Source organism: Homo sapiens, chromosome 12 (genome assembly GCF_000001405.40).
Source record: "Homo sapiens chromosome 12, GRCh38.p14 Primary Assembly".
In the NCBI taxonomy this organism is placed as follows: domain Eukaryota; kingdom Metazoa; phylum Chordata; class Mammalia; order Primates; family Hominidae; genus Homo; species Homo sapiens.
Genome location: NC_000012.12, coordinates 46357425 through 46375228, shown reverse-complemented (window position 1 = coordinate 46375228; position 17804 = coordinate 46357425). Strand labels below are relative to the sequence as shown.

General features: G+C 39.9%; 1 protein-coding gene and 1 long non-coding RNA gene across 4 annotated transcripts, besides 8 other annotated features; one reads left to right on the top strand and one right to left on the bottom strand.

Annotated features, from left to right (window-relative positions):
• Positions 1-1450: 1450 nt before the first annotated feature.
• On the bottom strand, positions 1451-2446 carry SLC38A2-AS1 (SLC38A2 antisense RNA 1). The gene is made up of 2 exons (NR_187299.1): positions 2367-2446; positions 1451-1916 (listed from the first exon to the last, which is right to left on the bottom strand). It is a non-coding gene; the product is annotated as an SLC38A2 antisense RNA 1 (long non-coding RNA).
• Positions 1897-1956: an enhancer, noted in NCBI's record as "active region_6248". NCBI's record gives its function as "activates an Ori minimal core promoter by ATAC-STARR-seq in GM12878 lymphoblastoid cells {active_cell/tissue: GM12878}" and the evidence as "EXISTENCE:reporter gene assay evidence [ECO:0000049][PMID:35858748]".
• Positions 2207-2546: a silencer, noted in NCBI's record as "silent region_4385". NCBI's record gives its function as "represses an Ori minimal core promoter by ATAC-STARR-seq in GM12878 lymphoblastoid cells {active_cell/tissue: GM12878}" and the evidence as "EXISTENCE:reporter gene assay evidence [ECO:0000049][PMID:35858748]".
• On the top strand, positions 2456-17041 carry SLC38A2 (solute carrier family 38 member 2). 3 transcript variants are annotated; one of them, NM_018976.5, is made up of 16 exons: positions 2456-2720; positions 3850-4051; positions 4372-4453; positions 4602-4717; positions 7889-7962; positions 8061-8153; positions 8284-8365; positions 10040-10122; positions 10527-10585; positions 10673-10840; positions 11226-11305; positions 11403-11503; positions 12084-12208; positions 12591-12735; positions 12848-12945; positions 14020-17041. In NM_018976.5, exons 2-16 carry the CDS (start codon positions 3936-3938, stop codon positions 14116-14118), a joined length of 1521 nt encoding a protein of 506 aa, NP_061849.2. In that variant the 5' UTR covers positions 2456-2720; positions 3850-3935; the 3' UTR covers positions 14119-17041. The 3 variants fall into 3 exon arrangements, with proteins under 3 accessions (NP_061849.2, NP_001294865.1, XP_047284975.1); NM_001307936.2 differs by lacking the exon at positions 4602-4717; XM_047429019.1 differs by lacking the exons at positions 2456-2720; positions 3850-4051; positions 4602-4717 and having other exon boundaries at positions 4366-4453.
• Positions 2574-3277: an enhancer, noted in NCBI's record as "NANOG-H3K27ac-H3K4me1 hESC enhancer chr12:46765735-46766438 (GRCh37/hg19 assembly coordinates)". NCBI's record gives its function as "activates a minimal SCP1, AML or CMV promoter by ChIP-STARR-seq in primed H9 embryonic stem cells {active_cell/tissue: H9 hESC(primed)}" and the evidence as "EXISTENCE:reporter gene assay evidence [ECO:0000049][PMID:30033119]".
• Positions 2574-3296: a biological region, named in NCBI's record as "NANOG-H3K27ac-H3K4me1 hESC enhancer GRCh37_chr12:46765735-46766438".
• Positions 2637-2716: an enhancer, noted in NCBI's record as "active region_6247". NCBI's record gives its function as "activates an Ori minimal core promoter by ATAC-STARR-seq in GM12878 lymphoblastoid cells {active_cell/tissue: GM12878}" and the evidence as "EXISTENCE:reporter gene assay evidence [ECO:0000049][PMID:35858748]".
• Positions 2747-2946: a silencer, noted in NCBI's record as "silent region_4384". NCBI's record gives its function as "represses an Ori minimal core promoter by ATAC-STARR-seq in GM12878 lymphoblastoid cells {active_cell/tissue: GM12878}" and the evidence as "EXISTENCE:reporter gene assay evidence [ECO:0000049][PMID:35858748]".
• Positions 2967-3296: an enhancer, noted in NCBI's record as "active region_6246". NCBI's record gives its function as "activates an Ori minimal core promoter by ATAC-STARR-seq in GM12878 lymphoblastoid cells {active_cell/tissue: GM12878}" and the evidence as "EXISTENCE:reporter gene assay evidence [ECO:0000049][PMID:35858748]".
• Positions 3377-3526: an enhancer, noted in NCBI's record as "active region_6245". NCBI's record gives its function as "activates an Ori minimal core promoter by ATAC-STARR-seq in GM12878 lymphoblastoid cells {active_cell/tissue: GM12878}" and the evidence as "EXISTENCE:reporter gene assay evidence [ECO:0000049][PMID:35858748]".
• Positions 17042-17804: the final 763 nt, after the last annotated feature.

Genomic DNA, 17804 nt, shown 5'->3' with positions numbered 1-17804 from the left:
ATACACACATATATATACACATAATCAAGATAAAAGATTTACAGAATAATAGTACATATGGCATACTGATTTTTTAAAAAAAATTATTCTATTCTACTGCATTGAAGAAAATAGAAAGCTAGTACTAATCCACTGAATTCATCACTATCCACCACTTGGTCCCATTCTGAAAGTTTAAAAAATGCTGCTCTTCTAGAACATTAGCTTAGAAATCAAACAAAATTATAGCGCACTGACCAATAGGTATTTGGCAATATCGTTTCCCAGAAATTGAATGAGGACACTGTGTCCAATGCATTCAAGCCCAAAGCATAACAGCAATTGCTCAGAGCACATCAGGCCTCAGTTGGAAGTCTGATGGAGTTAGCAGGCATGCCTCAGTTTGGCCCTCGAAAAGACCAATCAAACTGGCAATAAAAACATGGAAGTTTCACCCCTCCACCCTTCTTTTTTTGTCATTTACTGTTCAAGTTCTGATCATACAGAGACCAGATCAATATTGCAGCTCCCCCCCCCGCCCCTGCCCTCCACTTTGCCCTCAGCTGTACAGGTATTGTGCTTCTCCTAAATATGTGTTGCAATACAAACCACCAAAAAGTCCAAAAGACATGAGATTTACTTATAGTGCCACTTGCCACCCATAACTACCAACCCTGAGGGCCTCCTTAGCACCTCTAACTGGGCAGAGGAAACGACCAGAGATTCATCTGGAATGAAAAAGTGGTTTAAGACCTTTTGATTGTTATCAGTTGAAACCTAATATAAAGAAACTTCCTGGGACTCCTCTCTAACCTACCACTACCAAGATTGTTGTGACAAGAAGAGTTGATTGATTTTATTGGGGAATGTATGTGGAAGGAAGATAGTTTTTTCAGCCCTAATTGTGTGTCAAATTCCAAACCTGCCCTTGGGGAGTTCACAATCTTTGGGCAGATGATACTACAAATAGTCTGGAACGATTTTGAGTGCATGACAGCACGGATTTTTAAAAGTCCGTCACCATATTGTTTTAGAAAATAGTACCTGCAAAAAGAGGGCTGAGTACGGAGGGATTAAGGCATGCGGGGCGCTTTCCTGTGGCTCGAAGACTAAGCCTTGCATGACAGCGGCATTTAAGGGGATGAGAGGAGATTGGACACCAAAGCAAGAATGGCTATTATTTAAGACTGGCCTGAACAGAGTAGAAGGTTTGCGGTAGGGAAGACTGGCCTGAACAGAGTAGAAGGTTTGGGGTAGGGAACACAGGAGTGTGATGGGGGAAATCGGGACCTCGCTTGTCAATCATAAACACTGGTGCAGGCGAGGGCACCCGAAGCCTCACGTGCGGCGGAAATAGGCAGTTGTACGGATTTCCTCAGTAAAACATTGAAAGCAAAAACTGCGATCACACCCAGCCCTTTCCTCTATGCCCTGCCCAATTTCTCCCAAGTCCCCAAAAGGAAGAGAGCAGTAGGTCAAACTTGTTTATTCATTCATTCCATGAACATTTCTCTCTCCTAAGGGGTCTTTGTTTCCTGCAAGGGAGTGAGTCTTGCCTTTCCCGCAGCACCAATTTTTCCACAGCGAAGGGTCCCCCTAGTTGCCTGGCTCAGCAAGACCACACACATCACCATTGAAGGGAAAGGACCAGGCTCCGCAGAAAGCGCCTCAGACCCGCATTCAGACAAGGCAGTGCCTTTGCCCGGGGCGGCGGTGGTGGGATAAGAGAAGCAACGTGTCAGCGAGTGGAAAACTGGGGACTCCCAAACGGCCTTAGGAGCGCCGGGCTCCCCACTGGGGCCTCTTTCTAAGGGGCCTGGCTTGCTGGCCAAAAGGTAGCCTTTCCGCTAGTCCAGTTTCCATGGCCGTACAAAAAGCACATCCCGAAAAGGAGCTGCTCGCCGACCTCCGGCTAGTTTTGAAGAGTGAAAGCAGGTCTAGGTGGAAAAGAAAGAACAACAAACCATCAGGACAACCTTGCTGCCTTGGCCCAAGTTTGTGAGACAAAACTTCACTGTAAATCACAAAAATAACAATCAAGAAAGTGTTTGGTGGGAGGGTGGTGTCCCCCAAAAGCCTTGATGTGTCCCCCGAAAGCAAGGACTGCTGGTGACTCGGACAGGAGAAAATTTTAAGGAGATGGCTCCTCAAAGACAACCGCATGTGTTGAGCACCAACCCTGGCTGAAAAGGATAGGCAGGGGAAGCATCTGGGGGTCTTTCCAGACTATCTAGAAAGCTGGAGAGAGTGGGCTTGGGCTTTGCGGGAGAGTCTTGGGGGCGCCTGCGGGCGGGGCTGGGCCGCGGGCGCGGGCCGCAGAGGGAGGGGCAGGGAGGCGGGGCCTAGGTCTGGGCGGGTCGGAGGCGGGGCCCAGGTGGTGTTGATACACAAAGAGAAGGCGCCCGGGCGGCCGCGGTCCCGCCCACTGACGCGTCCCCGGGGTGCCGCTATAACCCGCCGCTCGCAGGGCTGCTCCACAGCCGCGCGACGCCGCCGCCTTAGAACGCCTTTCCAGTACTGCTAGCAGCAGCCCGACCACGCGTTACCGCACGCTCGCGCCTTTCCCTTGACACGGCGGACGCCGGAGGATTGGGGCGGCAATTTGTCTTTTCCTTTTTTATTAAAATTATTTTTCCTGCCTGTTGTTGGATTTGGGGAAATTTTTTGTTTGTTTTTTATGATTTGTATTTGACTGAGAGAAACCCACTGAAGACGTCTGCGTGAGAATAGAGACCACCGAGGTAACGCGTGCGGGGGGGCGTCTGTGGGAAGGGCGCGGGGCCCGGGCGAGAGTGGGGGAGGGGCTTCCGGGAGGGGCCGCGCGGGAAGGCGGCCGCGGGGTCCGTTTCCTTTCGAGGCGGGCGTTGTCGGTTGGGCTGGCCAGCCTTCCACCCTGGCCCGCCGCGCGGGTGTCGCGCCCGCGACGTGGGTAGGAGAGCGGGCGCTGGGCGGGGGCCGCGTGCCTGCACGGTGCGGAGCCGCATCTTCCCATTAGGGGGAGGGGAGCTAGCCCGGCCAGCGGCTCTGCTGCGGCAAGTCTTGTGACTGATTTGCATTTAATAAAAAAAAAAAATTAAGTCCAGGGAGCCAGGAATCTGGGGGCGGCGGAGGTGGGCTTGGGCATGTATTACAGGAGAGGCCAAGATTGGGGAAGACGAGTTGGGAACATTTGACAATCGACGATCGATATTGCATCAGTTTTCTTTCCGGACATAGGAGGGGCTGGGCGGGCGTAGCACTCGCGGGCCAGCTGCCTGTGGACGGGTGTGCTTGAGGGCACTGGCGCGCGTGTGTAAACAAACCCCCAGCTCCCGGGGCCCGGGCGTTCGCCCCCCTCGAGAGAGGAGTAGTGTCGGCCCTTTCCGCCTCCTGGGGAAGGCTGTCTGCGGCAGAGGCATTTCTCCGTGTGGGGACTCCGGGCAGTAAAGGACAGATTACGCAGCATTGCTGTTCCAAATGCTAGAAACGGAAAGCCGTGCGCCTAGGTTGCATGCACACGAGCCAGGGTCGGGGCTGGATGTGTGCCCTGAGTGCCTGTGCAAGTTTGGAGCGACTGGGAAAAAGCAAAACAGAACCCCCCCTCGCCCCCTCCACTCCGACGAGGGACAATAGAGAGGGTGAAATACTGAAATCTGCCGGAGTAGGGGGCCTCGACGGCCGCAACACAGCGGTGGCATCATCTTTGTTCTCCCCGCGGCTCCGCCGTCTGTACTTTTCCGCCCCTCGGCGCGCCCCCGCCCCTCGCGCGCGGCTGGTACTTTTCCACTCGCCTGGCCTGGGATGAATCAGCCGCGCTGCGCCTCCGGGCGGCGTCACGTGACCGCGGCGGGCTGGCGCTGCGGTCCTGACGCGCCGCCTCTACTTTCGCAGGCCGACTCGCGGGCCGCTGCACCCACCGCCAAGGACAAAAGGAGCCCAGCGCTACTAGCTGCACCCGATTCCTCCCAGTGCTTAGCATGAAGAAGGCCGAAATGGGACGATTCAGTATTTCCCCGGATGAAGACAGCAGCAGCTACAGTTCCAACAGCGACTTCAACTACTCCTACCCCACCAAGCAAGCTGCTCTGAAAAGGTGGGAGAAGTTGTGACACTTTTGAAAAAACGGCTTGCATGGGTTGGGTTCAGGGAGTTACCTAGGACTCTGCTTCCATTGCTTTAATTTGCTATAGCATTTAGAGAAGGTGCGTAATCTCTGAAAGAGTATCCGATTATCTTGTTGTAATGACAAGATAGCTGGTGTGAAAGTCAACTCCTAGTTAATATTTATACATTAAGTAAAGATGTTGTATCAGAGCTATGCTGTTGGAGGGTATTTTATGTTAAAGCAGTCTTGTGTGTAATGATAGATATTTCAATCCAGTTTACAATTATATATGTCTATATTTTTTGCAGCCATTATGCAGATGTAGATCCTGAAAACCAGAACTTTTTACTTGAATCGAATTTGGGGAAGAAGAAGTATGAAACAGAATTTGTAAGTTAAAAATAGTAATTTGTCTGTCAGTGGCTTTATGGAGTAAAAGAATAGTTTTACTTTTAGAATTCAAATCTAACTTGCCCAAAGCTGGTTTTCTCCATTTAATTATTGTTATATGTTTGGTTATCGTTTTCCCTCTATGTAGCATCCAGGTACTACTTCCTTTGGAATGTCAGTATTTAATCTGAGCAATGCGATTGTGGGCAGTGGAATCCTTGGGCTTTCTTATGCCATGGCTAATACTGGAATTGCTCTTTTTATGTAAGTATGTGTAAGTAGTGAGTCTGCCATGCAGGGCAGTTACTATGGTAAAACATATTTTGGCTCCAGAAACTGAATTTACAGTTGGAGTAGCTGACTCAAAAGTTACTTGCTTAAAATTAAAAGTATGAGAAACCCCAAAAAATCTCTTTATTCTACTACATACTGCACAATATCAAGAAAGCCAACTAGAAAAAAATAGGGCAGTCCTTAAAACTGACAAATTAAGCCAGAAGTCTTCTAAGTCAGTGGGAATAGTTAAAACAAAATTGTAACAGATGGTAGATATTAAAAAAACTATGGCTAAAGCCAGGGTAGGTATAAATTTTGTTTTGGCAAATCAGAAGCTGAAAATCCTAATAAGCTCCAAATCATTTTGGTAAATCGACACAGTTCTTAAGGACCTGTGGCCCCTTACGTGAATAAGGAAAAGAAAATTTCTCTAAACATACAAGGTGTGGTGGTATTTACCCAGCCTGGAACATGTTTGTTTTAAGACGAGGAGGTCATAATTTTCTGGACCCTGAAAAGCAATCCATACATGTTTTTTTAATGTTTGCTTTTGTCAGACCTGTTCGATTGCCACATGTTGTGGCAAAAAATGAATACTTTAGTAAGTACTTATTTTTAAATGGTTCCCCCCACAGTTGCACAGTTAGACTTAATTACTTCTGTGCTTTCCAGCATAAATACGTGGATAGACTCTTGGAGGTACAGAAGACTTCAGAGCAGTGGTTCTTAGCCATTTTTGCGTCACTGACTCTTGGAGAATATGATAGAAAAATGTGGATCTTATTTCCAGGGAAAAAGCACAAAACAAAAATACATGCAATCTTAAGCATGTATTTTTCAGTGATGTTTGTGTCATAGCCCTTAAGTTTAAGTACCCGTGGACCCCTGGCTAAGGCAATTTCTGTGGAGGATTGTGTAACTTAATACCTTCATTGTACAGATAAGGAAACCATATGTATATAGCATGGAATTGTCCCTTTGTGACAGATGTGTTTTACTTAGCTGATTGGTGCCTTCTACTCAAGTTATTTTCTCCAGCACGATAGAATGTTCATGAAAAGAAAAGCAGACCTTTGCAAATCTCTGCTTTGTGAAATTCCACACTGAGGTTAAGCCTGGCTTTGAGTACTAGATGCTAGGATTCACTCTGGCTTGCTTCAATTAGGATGAGGCTTTTTGAGAGAACTCTTACTAAGGTGAAGGACCAGCGATTTACGTAGAATCCTAGAATCTCAGGAGTTCTTAGTGGAGAACCTGAATGGCATCACTGTCGAATATTTGAAATCCTTGTTAGCACTTGGTATAAAAACTGGAGGCAGTTTTAGAGTGCAGCCAGTGTAGTTAAAGTAAGAATTGAAATGATACTAAATGGCACCTCTGTTTCATAAGTGAAGGTCAAATTCTGATGTAACCCTTGTACTCTTGGAATTATACTTTAATAGGTGCTTATGTCATTGATTTACCATTTTGCTTAATGGCTAAATAAGATTGCTAAAGTGTGATTTTATTCATCAGTACTTACTTTATATTTAGAGGTATAGAGGAAAATGGGCCAAAAACCACATGGCTGCCACGGTGCACTTCAGCAACCCTGTAGCTAACCTGTTTAAGTAGAATCAATCTGAAGGTTGAAAGTGACCTCAAAGGTTATAAAGTCTATTCATCCCTTGTCATTTCAGTATAAGACATGGAAGGACTTAATTTGGTTTGTTTTTAATTAAACCAACATATTTTCTCCAGTTAGAAGTGAGGTTGATAGTGTCACTTCAGACTAGGTCCTGTAAAACTTCTGGCATTTAGAATGGTAGTGTAAAGCCACTTCCTCTGTTTAACTAATAGACATCAGTTTCTTTGTCAGCACCTTACATGGTACTGCGTGCAGTTTGTTCATACGGAATTAAAAAACATGTAACTCTTCTCCTTTGCAAGGTTTTCTATGAGTTTCCCTGTTTTGTTATTTAATTTCTTTAAAAAATTAGTCTGTATCTCTGGGCTCTCCTAGGTGGAAGGAAAGTAAAGCTGGAATGAGGGAGAACCCTTACCCTAAAGGAAAATTAGGTGACATTAGGGTCCCTTTAGTCACTCTATGTTACCTTATTTATTTATTTTTTTTCTGTTGCTCAATCCAAGTGAAAGGGTCAAGGGAGGAAAGGCTTAGAGACAGTCAAGCTGATAGCCTACTTGTTCTAGCACAGACATTGTTTAACTGTGACAATAGTGGGCCTGTATTCCTTGCCATGGGGTGCAATGTAGTATGTCATCACAATGGTTAGTTCTCTGATTTGTGCCCAGTTGTTAGTAAAGCTTGTAGTGCCTCTTAAAATGTTAGTATCATGTTAGTGTCATTTCCCCCTTACCATTCTTTTCCTTTTCTTTCTTTTTTTTTTAAAAAGACAGTATTTCATTTTGTCCTCCAGGCTGAGTGCAGTGGCAAACTGCTGGGCTCAAGTGATACCCCCACCTCAGCCTGAGTAGCTGAGACTATAGGTGTACACCACCACAGCTGGCTTTTTGTTTTTCCTTCGGTAGAGATGTGGCTTCCCTATGTTATGTTGTCCAAGCTGATCTCGAACTCCTGGCCTCAAGCAGTCATCCTGCCCCAGCCTCCTAGAGTGCTGGGATTACAGGCATGAGCCACTGCACCTGGCCTGTCATTCCTGTTTTTGTGTATACGGTCCATGTGGTCTTAAAACCTTTCCTGAACGTGTCTCAGTTGAATTTCCCAAGAACCTTGTGGGCTGGGTTTAGTGGCGGATATTACTAATATTTTACAGATAAGGGGAACTACTGAAATGCAGAAAGGTGGCAAGCATACAGCTCATTATTGTGGTGCCAGAATCAAAATACAAGTTTCAAACTCCATCACTGGGAAGTTGAGCTTTCCAGTGTCTCATGCTATGTTTGGCTCAGTGGGTAGACATCCTTGTTCCTAACCAATGCTGTAGAACTATCACCTGAGAAATGATGCAAGTTTTTACTGCCAGCCAAGAGACAGTGTTGCCATTCCAGTTAGTAGGAGAGGAAATGCCAGTTCTTCAGGGCATTTTGACACAAATAGGACAAGTTGCACACATAATGTTATTTAAACATCCAGAAAGAGTTGTCTTTAAATATAGCCATGCTTATTTATAACCCTATGCCTTTTCCTTCTCTCACCAGAATTCTCTTGACATTTGTGTCAATATTTTCCCTGTATTCTGTTCATCTCCTTTTGAAGACTGCCAATGAAGGAGGTATGATAGCATTCTTGATTTTTCTAAAACAATGTATACCTATCATTTTATTTCTCTTTTAAAATCCTTGGCTTCATGCTTCTGTCTTCAAATTGTAGGGTCTTTATTATATGAACAATTGGGATATAAGGCATTTGGATTAGTTGGAAAGCTTGCAGCATCTGGATCAATTACAATGCAGAACATTGGAGGTAAGAATTTTTCAAAAGATTATTTGGGTAGACTTTATGCTCATTGTGGAGCACAGAATGGTGACACATGCGTTTTAGTGTCACGTGCCGCGTTTTGCACTTGTAATGGTATAATTTTGTTTTCCTCCAGCTATGTCAAGCTACCTCTTCATAGTGAAATATGAGTTGCCTTTGGTGATCCAGGCATTAACGAACATTGAAGATAAAACTGGGTAGGTGCTAAGTAAGGTTACTCATAAGAAACAATTATAGTCAAAAGTGGTTAGATACATTTTTATCAAAGTTGTATACAAAATGATTAGTTAATTATCCATAAATGTTCCTTTTGAAACTGACCAAGAAGGCCCCCCATCCCCGTAAACTGATTCGAACTTTGGAGAAGGAAAGGCCGAAAGATAGTAGCTAGCCCTACAATTTTGGATATCTTAATTTCTAAAACAGGTTTTCTAGAACTTGCTTTCTGTCTTTATGTTCATACTTAAAGAAGTTATAGGTGTTTTTAATATATATCCTAAGTGAGGACTGAAGCTTTGAATTACATTAAAAATTAATCCGTCTTATTTTTGTAAGTTTGGAATTCTTAAGACTTAATCTGTTCAATGCAAAATACAGGCTGGACATCCCTAATCTGAAATCCAAAACTTTTTGAGTGCCAACATGACACTACAAGTGGAAAATCCACACCTGATCTCGTGACAGGTGTGCAAAATTAATTAAAATACTGTATAAAATCACCTTTAGGCTATGGGTTTAAGAAGGTGTATAGGAAACATAAGTGAATTTTGTGTTTAGACTTCAGTGCCATCTCCAAGATACTTCAAATATGTATGTGCAGGTACTCCAAAGTCCAAAACACTTCGGTCCCAAGCATTTTGAATAAGGGATACTCAACATGTGCCAGAAAATGTTTGGGCATGCTATAGAAACCATTTTCTTCTAGCAAAGTTACTCATCCCAGTGAACTCACAGGTATTTATCTAAAGTAAACATGGGGAAGGATAATTTACTTCCCACCCTATGTGCAGCTCATTACGTCAAAATAGAGAAGTGCTGTTATCTCAGATGTGGCTTTAGAAATTTAATTTTTTAAGCTGATCTTTAAGTGTTGGTGTTCTGCAGAGTGCTTACTGCTGAAGTGAACAGAATTCATGAGGCAATTAGAATTTGAAAATAGTGATTTAGAAGACAGTGCAATTCATGATTTACCTAAAAAGAAAAAGGCTTAGAGGATATACATAATGTTTTCTAAAGTTCAAAAGGGATATTTTTGGCTGTCTTTGGAGTTAAAGGTGGGTCAAGATGTCACAACATACTCTGATAACCTGGAATAAGTCCTGGTTTGGGGGACTGAGTTTTATAATTTTTTTTATGGGGGGGGCAGTTTGCCTGTGCATTTTATGAAAACGTTTCCTCATTGAAATATTTAATAATATTTGCTAACGCATCTGGAAAAAAACTTGTTTTAAAATTTTTTAGTTTCCAGCATTAGAAATTACATGCTAAAGCTGTACCAAAGTTGGTGTACAATTTTTCTGAAAGTGCTTAAAGATAAGATTACTGGCTTAACAAACAAGCTTTGTTCCCTGCATTAGTATCAAGTCTTTGAGAAGCATTTTGTGTTATGAATCAGCTGGCAGCCTTCCCAGAGCAAGTAGTGGGACAAAAGTTACACTGTTTTATACCCGACTTCTAACCTGAGTAAATGTTCATCTAGCACACAAAATTAAAAAGTTATTCCTATCTTGAACAGGGGAAACTTTTTCCAAACATGTCTTTTTTGTGTGTTTGTTTTCATGGTATTCCTATGAAATGAGTCCTGTTAGAAGATGTGTATATTTTTCAGAGGATATTTGTGACTGTTTTGACCTTGTTTCTGTTTTCTTTAGATTGTGGTATCTGAACGGGAACTATTTGGTTCTGTTGGTGTCATTGGTGGTCATTCTTCCTTTGTCGCTGTTTAGAAATTTAGGTGAGCAAACTCATCTCTAAAGAGAATTGAAATGAGCCTCTCACCAGTTAGTTGGGCTTTCTCTGAATAGAAATTAATCAGAATGAAAAAGCCCTAGAAAGTAGAAAGGTATATCTTTGGGACTTACAGCATGCAAAATTTAGGAGCCAAAATATTTAATTGACACTATATGTTGTGCTTTGTAAGAAATAATGCAAATGATAGTTTTTATTAGCTTGGGTTATGACAAGTATATTTAAATAAATCTATAATTTAGTATCATAAGAATTAGAAATTTAGTGCTATACACATACTTTAGTGCCTAAAGTCTTCCCAGCAGAATTGAGTTATTCAGTGGGAAAAAGATATTTGCCTTAAATCTGTTTCATTAAACTAATACTGATTCCTGCCACCCCTCCTTATAGGATATTTGGGATATACCAGTGGCCTTTCCTTGTTGTGTATGGTGTTCTTTCTGATTGTGGTGGGTATGATTTTTTTTTTAGAAAAAATTTTTTATAAGCCCTGCCATGTCACTTAGTTTAACACATGCAAAATAATATATTTTTAGGTCATTTGCAAGAAATTTCAGGTTCCGTGTCCTGTGGAAGCTGCTTTGATAATTAACGAAACAATAAACACCACCTTAACACAGCCAACAGCTCTTGTACCTGCTTTGTCACATAACGTGACTGAAAATGACTCTTGCAGACCTCACTATTTTATTTTCAACTCACAGGTAACTAAATATGCTTATTTTCTCAAAAGAAGAGTTTAGGGAAGAAAAGAGGGAAGCTATTCACTCCCAGGGTAAAGGGAGGAGGATAATAGGTGCTTTATAGAAAACATGTGATTAGCTAATTATTGAGGACTGTGAAGAAAGTTTTGGTTTACATCTGAAAATAGATTGAGAATTGAGATAATCATATGGTGCTAATAATTGACACATTCAGAAGTGAGGATATTGATCATACTTCATGAACAGATTAGAAGAATGGAAGCTAATTACACAAAGGAAACTTAGGCTTTGATTCTAAGATTGTTTACATAAAATATATGCTGCGGAAATGTGACAGCATGAGTTCGTTACATCAGATTAAGTAGATTTTTACGTTTTCTTTCAGACTGTCTATGCTGTGCCAATTCTGATCTTTTCATTTGTCTGTCATCCTGCTGTTCTTCCCATCTATGAAGAACTGAAAGAGTGAGTATTTCATTTTTACATAAATTTGAGAAAATATTAGACAATTGCTGTAACTGCTGCTGAAATATATATTTGAATTTTCTCTTGAATTACATAGCCGCAGCCGTAGAAGAATGATGAATGTGTCCAAGATTTCATTTTTTGCTATGTTTCTCATGTATCTGCTTGCCGCCCTCTTTGGATACCTAACATTTTACGGTAAGTAACGCCTCCTTTACCAAAACAAAAACAAAAACAAAAAAAAACGCTTATTGAAATGAAGCTGCTAGTTTTCTATGTGTAGTTCCATCACTTTAAAAATAGTCTGTTTTAATATATTTCATATTTGTGATGAGAAATTAAATTTAGAGCTTAGAATTTTCTGTAGTGTATTTAATCAGTAATTTCTAGAATCCAGGTTTGAAAATATCATTAATCATTTGATGGCATATTTGTATGATATGCCAGCCTCTGAGTTCATATTGCCTGTCTCCTCTCCCATCACCTTCAGACTATGTAACACAAACACAAATTGCAAGCCAAGCCAGGAGATTTAGCTGCTTAACTCCTGTTGTTTTTAATGGGAGTCATGTGGCTAAATCTCTGTGGTATTTAGAAAAATTTTCCTTCAATGTTACTTTAATTGCATTAACTATAATTCCAAACAAATCTTATTAGCCTCTTAGTTTATAGTCGTTTTGTGAGTAGCTAAATAACTGGTGCACATTTTGCTGTTAAATTTTCTACTTGGTGTCCAATGAAAACAGCCAATCAAAGTTTTTTTGGTCTTTCCCTGTAGAACATGTTGAGTCAGAATTGCTTCATACCTACTCTTCTATCTTGGGAACTGATATTCTTCTTCTCATTGTCCGTCTGGCTGTGTTAATGGCTGTGACCCTGACAGTACCAGTAGTTATTTTCCCAGTAAGTAATCACTTGCTCTGCTTTCAGTAGGAAGGAGTTTTTAGACATGTGAATATTGGTGAGATTTTCATCTTCTGGAAGAAGGGAAACACCAGTAGAACAATACTAAGTTGGTGGTGGTTTTGAAGGGGCTTTTTAAAAATACAGTGTATATTTTCAAAATACCCTGGGGACATTTTTTTCACCATAAGATATAAAATGATCTTTAAGTGTTCAGATGTTCAGGAAACAGCAGAGAAAGAGGCACAGTTTTATTTAGAAATAGTTACTATTTTGGATAGATTCCTTGTTACTTGGGCATTCTTTTCATTCATTGAAGCTGGATTTTTAAATTTTATATTGCTGCTATTTTTAAAATACATTTTATTTATTTTTTTTGCAGATCCGGAGTTCTGTAACTCACTTGTTGTGTGCATCAAAAGATTTCAGTTGGTGGCGTCATAGTCTCATTACAGTGTCTATCTTGGCATTTACCAATTTACTTGTCATCTTTGTCCCAACTATTAGGGATATCTTTGGTTTTATTGGTAAGTTTTAGAAAGTATCCAAGTGGATTCAAACATCAGGGATTTTAAGATTTAAAGAATGAATGACGAGTGGTTCATTGAATCCTCAAGAAACATAAATGTTGTTTTACAGGTGCATCTGCAGCTTCTATGTTGATTTTTATTCTTCCTTCTGCCTTCTATATCAAGTTGGTGAAGAAAGAACCTATGAAATCTGTACAAAAGATTGGGGTGAGTGAAAGATTATAACCATAGAAACAGTAATAATATCATAAATTTCCCCAACTGATTTTAATTTTATTCTCATAGCTGTTATTTGTTATGGTTTCACTTTTAAGTTTCCAGCAAACATTTCTGTAATGGTATACTTCACAGATGGAAGATTGCAGAGGGAAGGGGAAAGATAGTTTGCCATCTAATGAACACTTAAATTAATTGCAATAAAGTTATTAGATACTTTGGAGATAGGAATAGGGATGAAGACTAGATGAGATACTCAGCTTTCAACATTTGTTCAACCAGTTTTCACTGGACTGCCTACTGTGTGACAGGCACTTAAATGGGCATTGAATATATAAAAGAGAAGGAAGGGCTGTTTAGTTGAATGAGACTGACCATCTTCAGAGCGAAGCTCTCAGGGAGGCCGTCTCTTCATGGTGTTTACTATTATGTATCTACTCTAAAGTGTAGTACCAGTTGGTGACAGAGAATGATGTGCTAACCACAAATGATGTGGTTCCTAGAACCAGAATCCTGGTGGTGATATTTAGGAAAAAGACTGCTTTTTAGTCATTATTTTCTCCTTCATTCTGCTCTGATTAAAGTACTAGAATTGTTTATAAACCAACAACTGTCATCTTGTTTTACTCTAAATTACATAGTGGCAGTATTGAAGGGTAGGATTTAGGAATTAGTATTTCCTGGAAAGACCTCTGGCTTTGACTTTTGCTGCATTTTAGGATGATTTGGGTTTGATTTTGTGACTTGACTTTCATTCTAAAAAATTGCAAAAAAAAATCCAGTCCAGTTCTATATGAAGCAGTTTGTTTAGCAAGAAAATTCCCTGTCACTTGAGACAAAGGAATGAAAAAGTGAAAAAGTTCAGAAGGCCTCAAAGGTAGTTATTGTGTACTGCAGATAACATACTGATCACTTAGGAGTTTATATTTAGCAAGTTAAATATTCTTTCTATAGATTATATAGTGGATAGATTTTAGTAATTAAAGCACATTTCAAAAAATAGAAGAAATGTTTAGCATATATGTTTTATTACTTGCTGATCAATTTTCTCTATGCTCTTTGCAGGCTTTGTTCTTCCTGTTAAGTGGTGTACTGGTGATGACCGGAAGCATGGCCTTGATTGTTTTGGATTGGGTACACAATGCACCTGGAGGTGGCCATTAATTGGCACCACTCAAACTCAAACTCAGTCCATCTGATGCCAGTGTTGAGTAAACTCAACTACTATGAAATTTCACCTAATGTTTTCAGTTTCACTTCCTTTTGAAGTGCAGATTCCTCGCTGGTTCTTCTGAGTGCAGAATAAGTGAACTTTTTTGTTTTGTTTTGTTTTTTTAAGAAACTTATCTGTATGTTAGAAATGGATATGAACAACAAAACCACGAGTCTCGGGTTAAGGGAAGTGACAATTTTATTCCATTCCAGAGAATGGACAAACTCTTAACTTTTATCAAGCCACATGCTTGGCTGTGTCATTGTTTAACTTGGATATTTTATGATTTTACTTGAATGTGCCTAATGGAACCATTTGATGTGAGAAACAATTCTTTTTAATTTACAGCAAAATATTGAATAACCATTGACAAAAACACTATTATTTTTTGTACCAAAAATACTTAAAGACCTCAGAAGCACTCTTTTACTTTTAAGAAATTGCTTTTTTGAACTTTATTCAGAAGCAGTTATCAATAAATTCCATAAAATAATGTCATTGGTATTTAAAAATGAATATTAATATAATGAAATGGTTTGCCTTTTTGTAGGCATAATAAGCCAAATACTTTTTTACCCAAAATAATTTTTAGAGAAAATGATGTAATGAAAAATTGTACCATGAATTAGGAGCATAGTTTTTTCCATTTAAACGTCACCATTACTTAAAAGATGATTGATTATTGCTATACCAAATCAGATGAACTCTGTTCATCACTTTTCTTCTCTGTCCCCAAACAATTTGGTTCATTCAGACTGAAATGTTTGTGTCTTCAACTTATTAGAATGGAAGATAATGCAGATATTTCTGTGGGAAATAAAATAACTAATTTTGAGGTACCAAATAGTGCAATTGGGTAAAACAGGGTTTATTCAGTTGCATCTGTCTCCAGTGTTGTATTGACAGCTCTGGGTCTTTTTTTGGGCCAGCCCTTTTTTGACATTGCTTCCAGCAGTGGAAAATGGGCATTTGATGGCAATAGGCCAAAATTATTGTGTCCAGAGAGTACACTTTTTCAAAATGCTCACCTACTGGAAGTGTGAATTACTTGACAATGTATGGCTTAGTTGTGTTCATGTTTTGTCTACAGTAGAGGTCTAATCCACAGGTTACACCTATGTTTGATATGATATAAGTTCTCTTTGCGTAGGCCACTGGGTTTCTCATGCAGTAAGCTTTATAAAAACTCATTTGCACTGGACTGTCATCTCATTCTTGTACAACGTAGAATTACTTGTTTACATCCAACAAATGGTTAGCTAGGGAAAACAGTGCAAACTGAGTGTTAGTAGTCATTTTGGTCCAACTGCATGTCAACCCTTCCATTTCAATCCCAGTTAGAAATGAAAATAATTACTTTGAAACTTGGCTTTAAGAGCACATTTATCGTACGTCACAGTGTATGGTGAATATATTATTAAATAATGTGGTACTTCGCTCATCAGGCATAATGTCTAAAATCTAATATACATAATTCCATTAAGTGGTTGAAGGAAGCAAATAATGGAATTGTCAATTGGTCATCTGGCTGTAAGGTTTGCCCTTGAACTAAAAATGTTGTTTGGGGCAAGGGCCAGAAATGTGGAGACATGGTTTTTGTTACGCATTCTTGTATTATATGTGACTAAATTTACAAACAAGATACATGTGTAATTAAAGACCCTTATGGAACTGGAAGACGTCTTGTAGTGCTACATTGGGTGAAACCGTTGGTCCATTTTTGTCTGTTTCTATGAAGATAAAATAATTGGGGGCCATCTAGAAATAGAAAGGCAGTGGGAAGACAGATTCTACGGCACTGCTTTCATTTAATTGGGCTTTAGGCACTCCATTCGAATGCAGAACCTCACCTCTAGTTGAGACCAAGAATTGGCAAATTTGCATGAGCTCCTGGAAAGAGTTGCTGACTTTGTATCTAAGACCTGCCAGGGAATACCAAGAGTTGTTTCTACAGACTTTTTTTTTTTTTTTTGTATGGGAGAAGATACTGTGGCAACCAGGAAGGAATGGAAAAAAAATTCTTTTCTCTACAGCAAATTAATGTGAGGAAGCTCCTCCAATCCTCTGGCTATTTAAGGTTCAAAATCAAGTGCCTAGGGAAAATTCCAATGGATGATTTTCTGGGAGCTATCTTGTCTACCTTGAGGTTCCTGAACAATGAATTCCCATTAATGAGCAGTCTTCAGTATTAAAACCACTGTCTTGTCACCTCATTTTGCATTACTGTCTTCCGTGGATGTTTCAGTTACAACTGTAATGTTATTTATAGAACAACATTAATCCATTAAAGCTAACCTATTTTTCAATATTTATGATAATCTATGTACATATATTGTCTGTCCATATGTATTTGTAAATAGGTTGTATATAATGTCAGGTTTGGGTCTTGGGTTCAAGTGTATATATTCCTGTAAGTTTCTTAACTGCATTTTGATGAATTCACATTATGTAACTATAAGAATTGTCCCAAAAGTACCTGTACAGAAAATTGAATATTGAAAAATTGACAAATTGTGTACAAACACTAAAAAAAACTTGTTTAAATTGTATTTGCAATAAACAACATCAAATTTTTTCATGAAATCTTGGTACAAATTCAGATCTCTTATTTAAAATTTAAATAAGGAATACATTTTCAAAATGCAGTAATCAAAATGTGATCTAGTGTAATGAAATAAAATGTGATCTAGTGTAATGGAAGACCTTTGAGAACCTGGGTGTATTAACTTTGTGTATATAGTGTAAATATCCCCACTGTACTGTTAGAGGCCAACAATTCTAGTATGGCTTGTTGGCAAAGAGTGCTACACCGTTTCAATGAAACAATGTATGTTTGTTTTAACTGAACTAAAATAAATACATGCTTAATCCTGAGTAGCAGTGTTTTTTGTTTTGTTTTGTTTTGTTTTTTTCAGGTAATGGGATAGGCAGTGTCTAATGCAAATTGCATTGTAACTGCAGTACCTAGCACCTAGTAGGTGTCCATATGTTTGTGATGAATGGTCAGGAAAAAAAGTTTAGGTTCCCAGAGATTCTAAGTTTCCAAAGTGAGAAGGAATGGAAAGTCTTGGAGAGTTGGGGGAAGATGCTAAAATGCATCATAAGAGCCCAGGCTCAGCCCTGCTGATGGAAATAAATAGGTCAATAATGTATCAGAATCAACTGGAGAGCCTTTTAAAACCACAGCTTTCTGAAACGTGCCTAGTTTGTCTGATTGCAAAGGTCCAGCTGTAGGGTAGCCCAGGATCTGGTTTTTTACTTAAGAAGGCCACTCGGGTGATAATGATGCACAAACTCCAGGAGCAATCAAGTGGCCTGGAAAGAAGTTGGGATATGTTCAGTTTGGTGAAAAAGTCACAGGAAAAGAGGAATTAATGGACAAGCTGGTGCGTGTAACAGCATGGTTTTACTTGAGCAACAGTGGAAGTGGGAAGGTTACTAAGATACACAGGCTAGTTTAGGTATGGCCTACTGATAAGTCCGAAAAGCTTGAGGCTTGTGAAATGAAATAACCAGAGCTGAAACAGAAAAGACCACACCTTGGGATAGTCAAGTATGCCTGATGGTAGTTCCAAAGTCAGGAAACGTCTCCAAGAAACTTAATATGCAGTTACTAATGATGGTCAAATGAGAAGGA

Coding starts and splice junctions, on each gene's coding strand:
- SLC38A2 (NM_018976.5), top strand. CDS start 3,936: ATGAAGAAGGCCGAAATGGGACGATTCAGTATTTCCCCGGATGAAGAC. Junction 8,366..10,039: donor AACATTGAAGATAAAACTGG/GTAGGTGCTAAG, acceptor TGTTTTCTTTAG/ATTGTGGTATCTGAACGGGA. Junction 10,586..10,672: donor TGGTGTTCTTTCTGATTGTG/GTGGGTATGATT, acceptor ATATATTTTTAG/GTCATTTGCAAGAAATTTCA.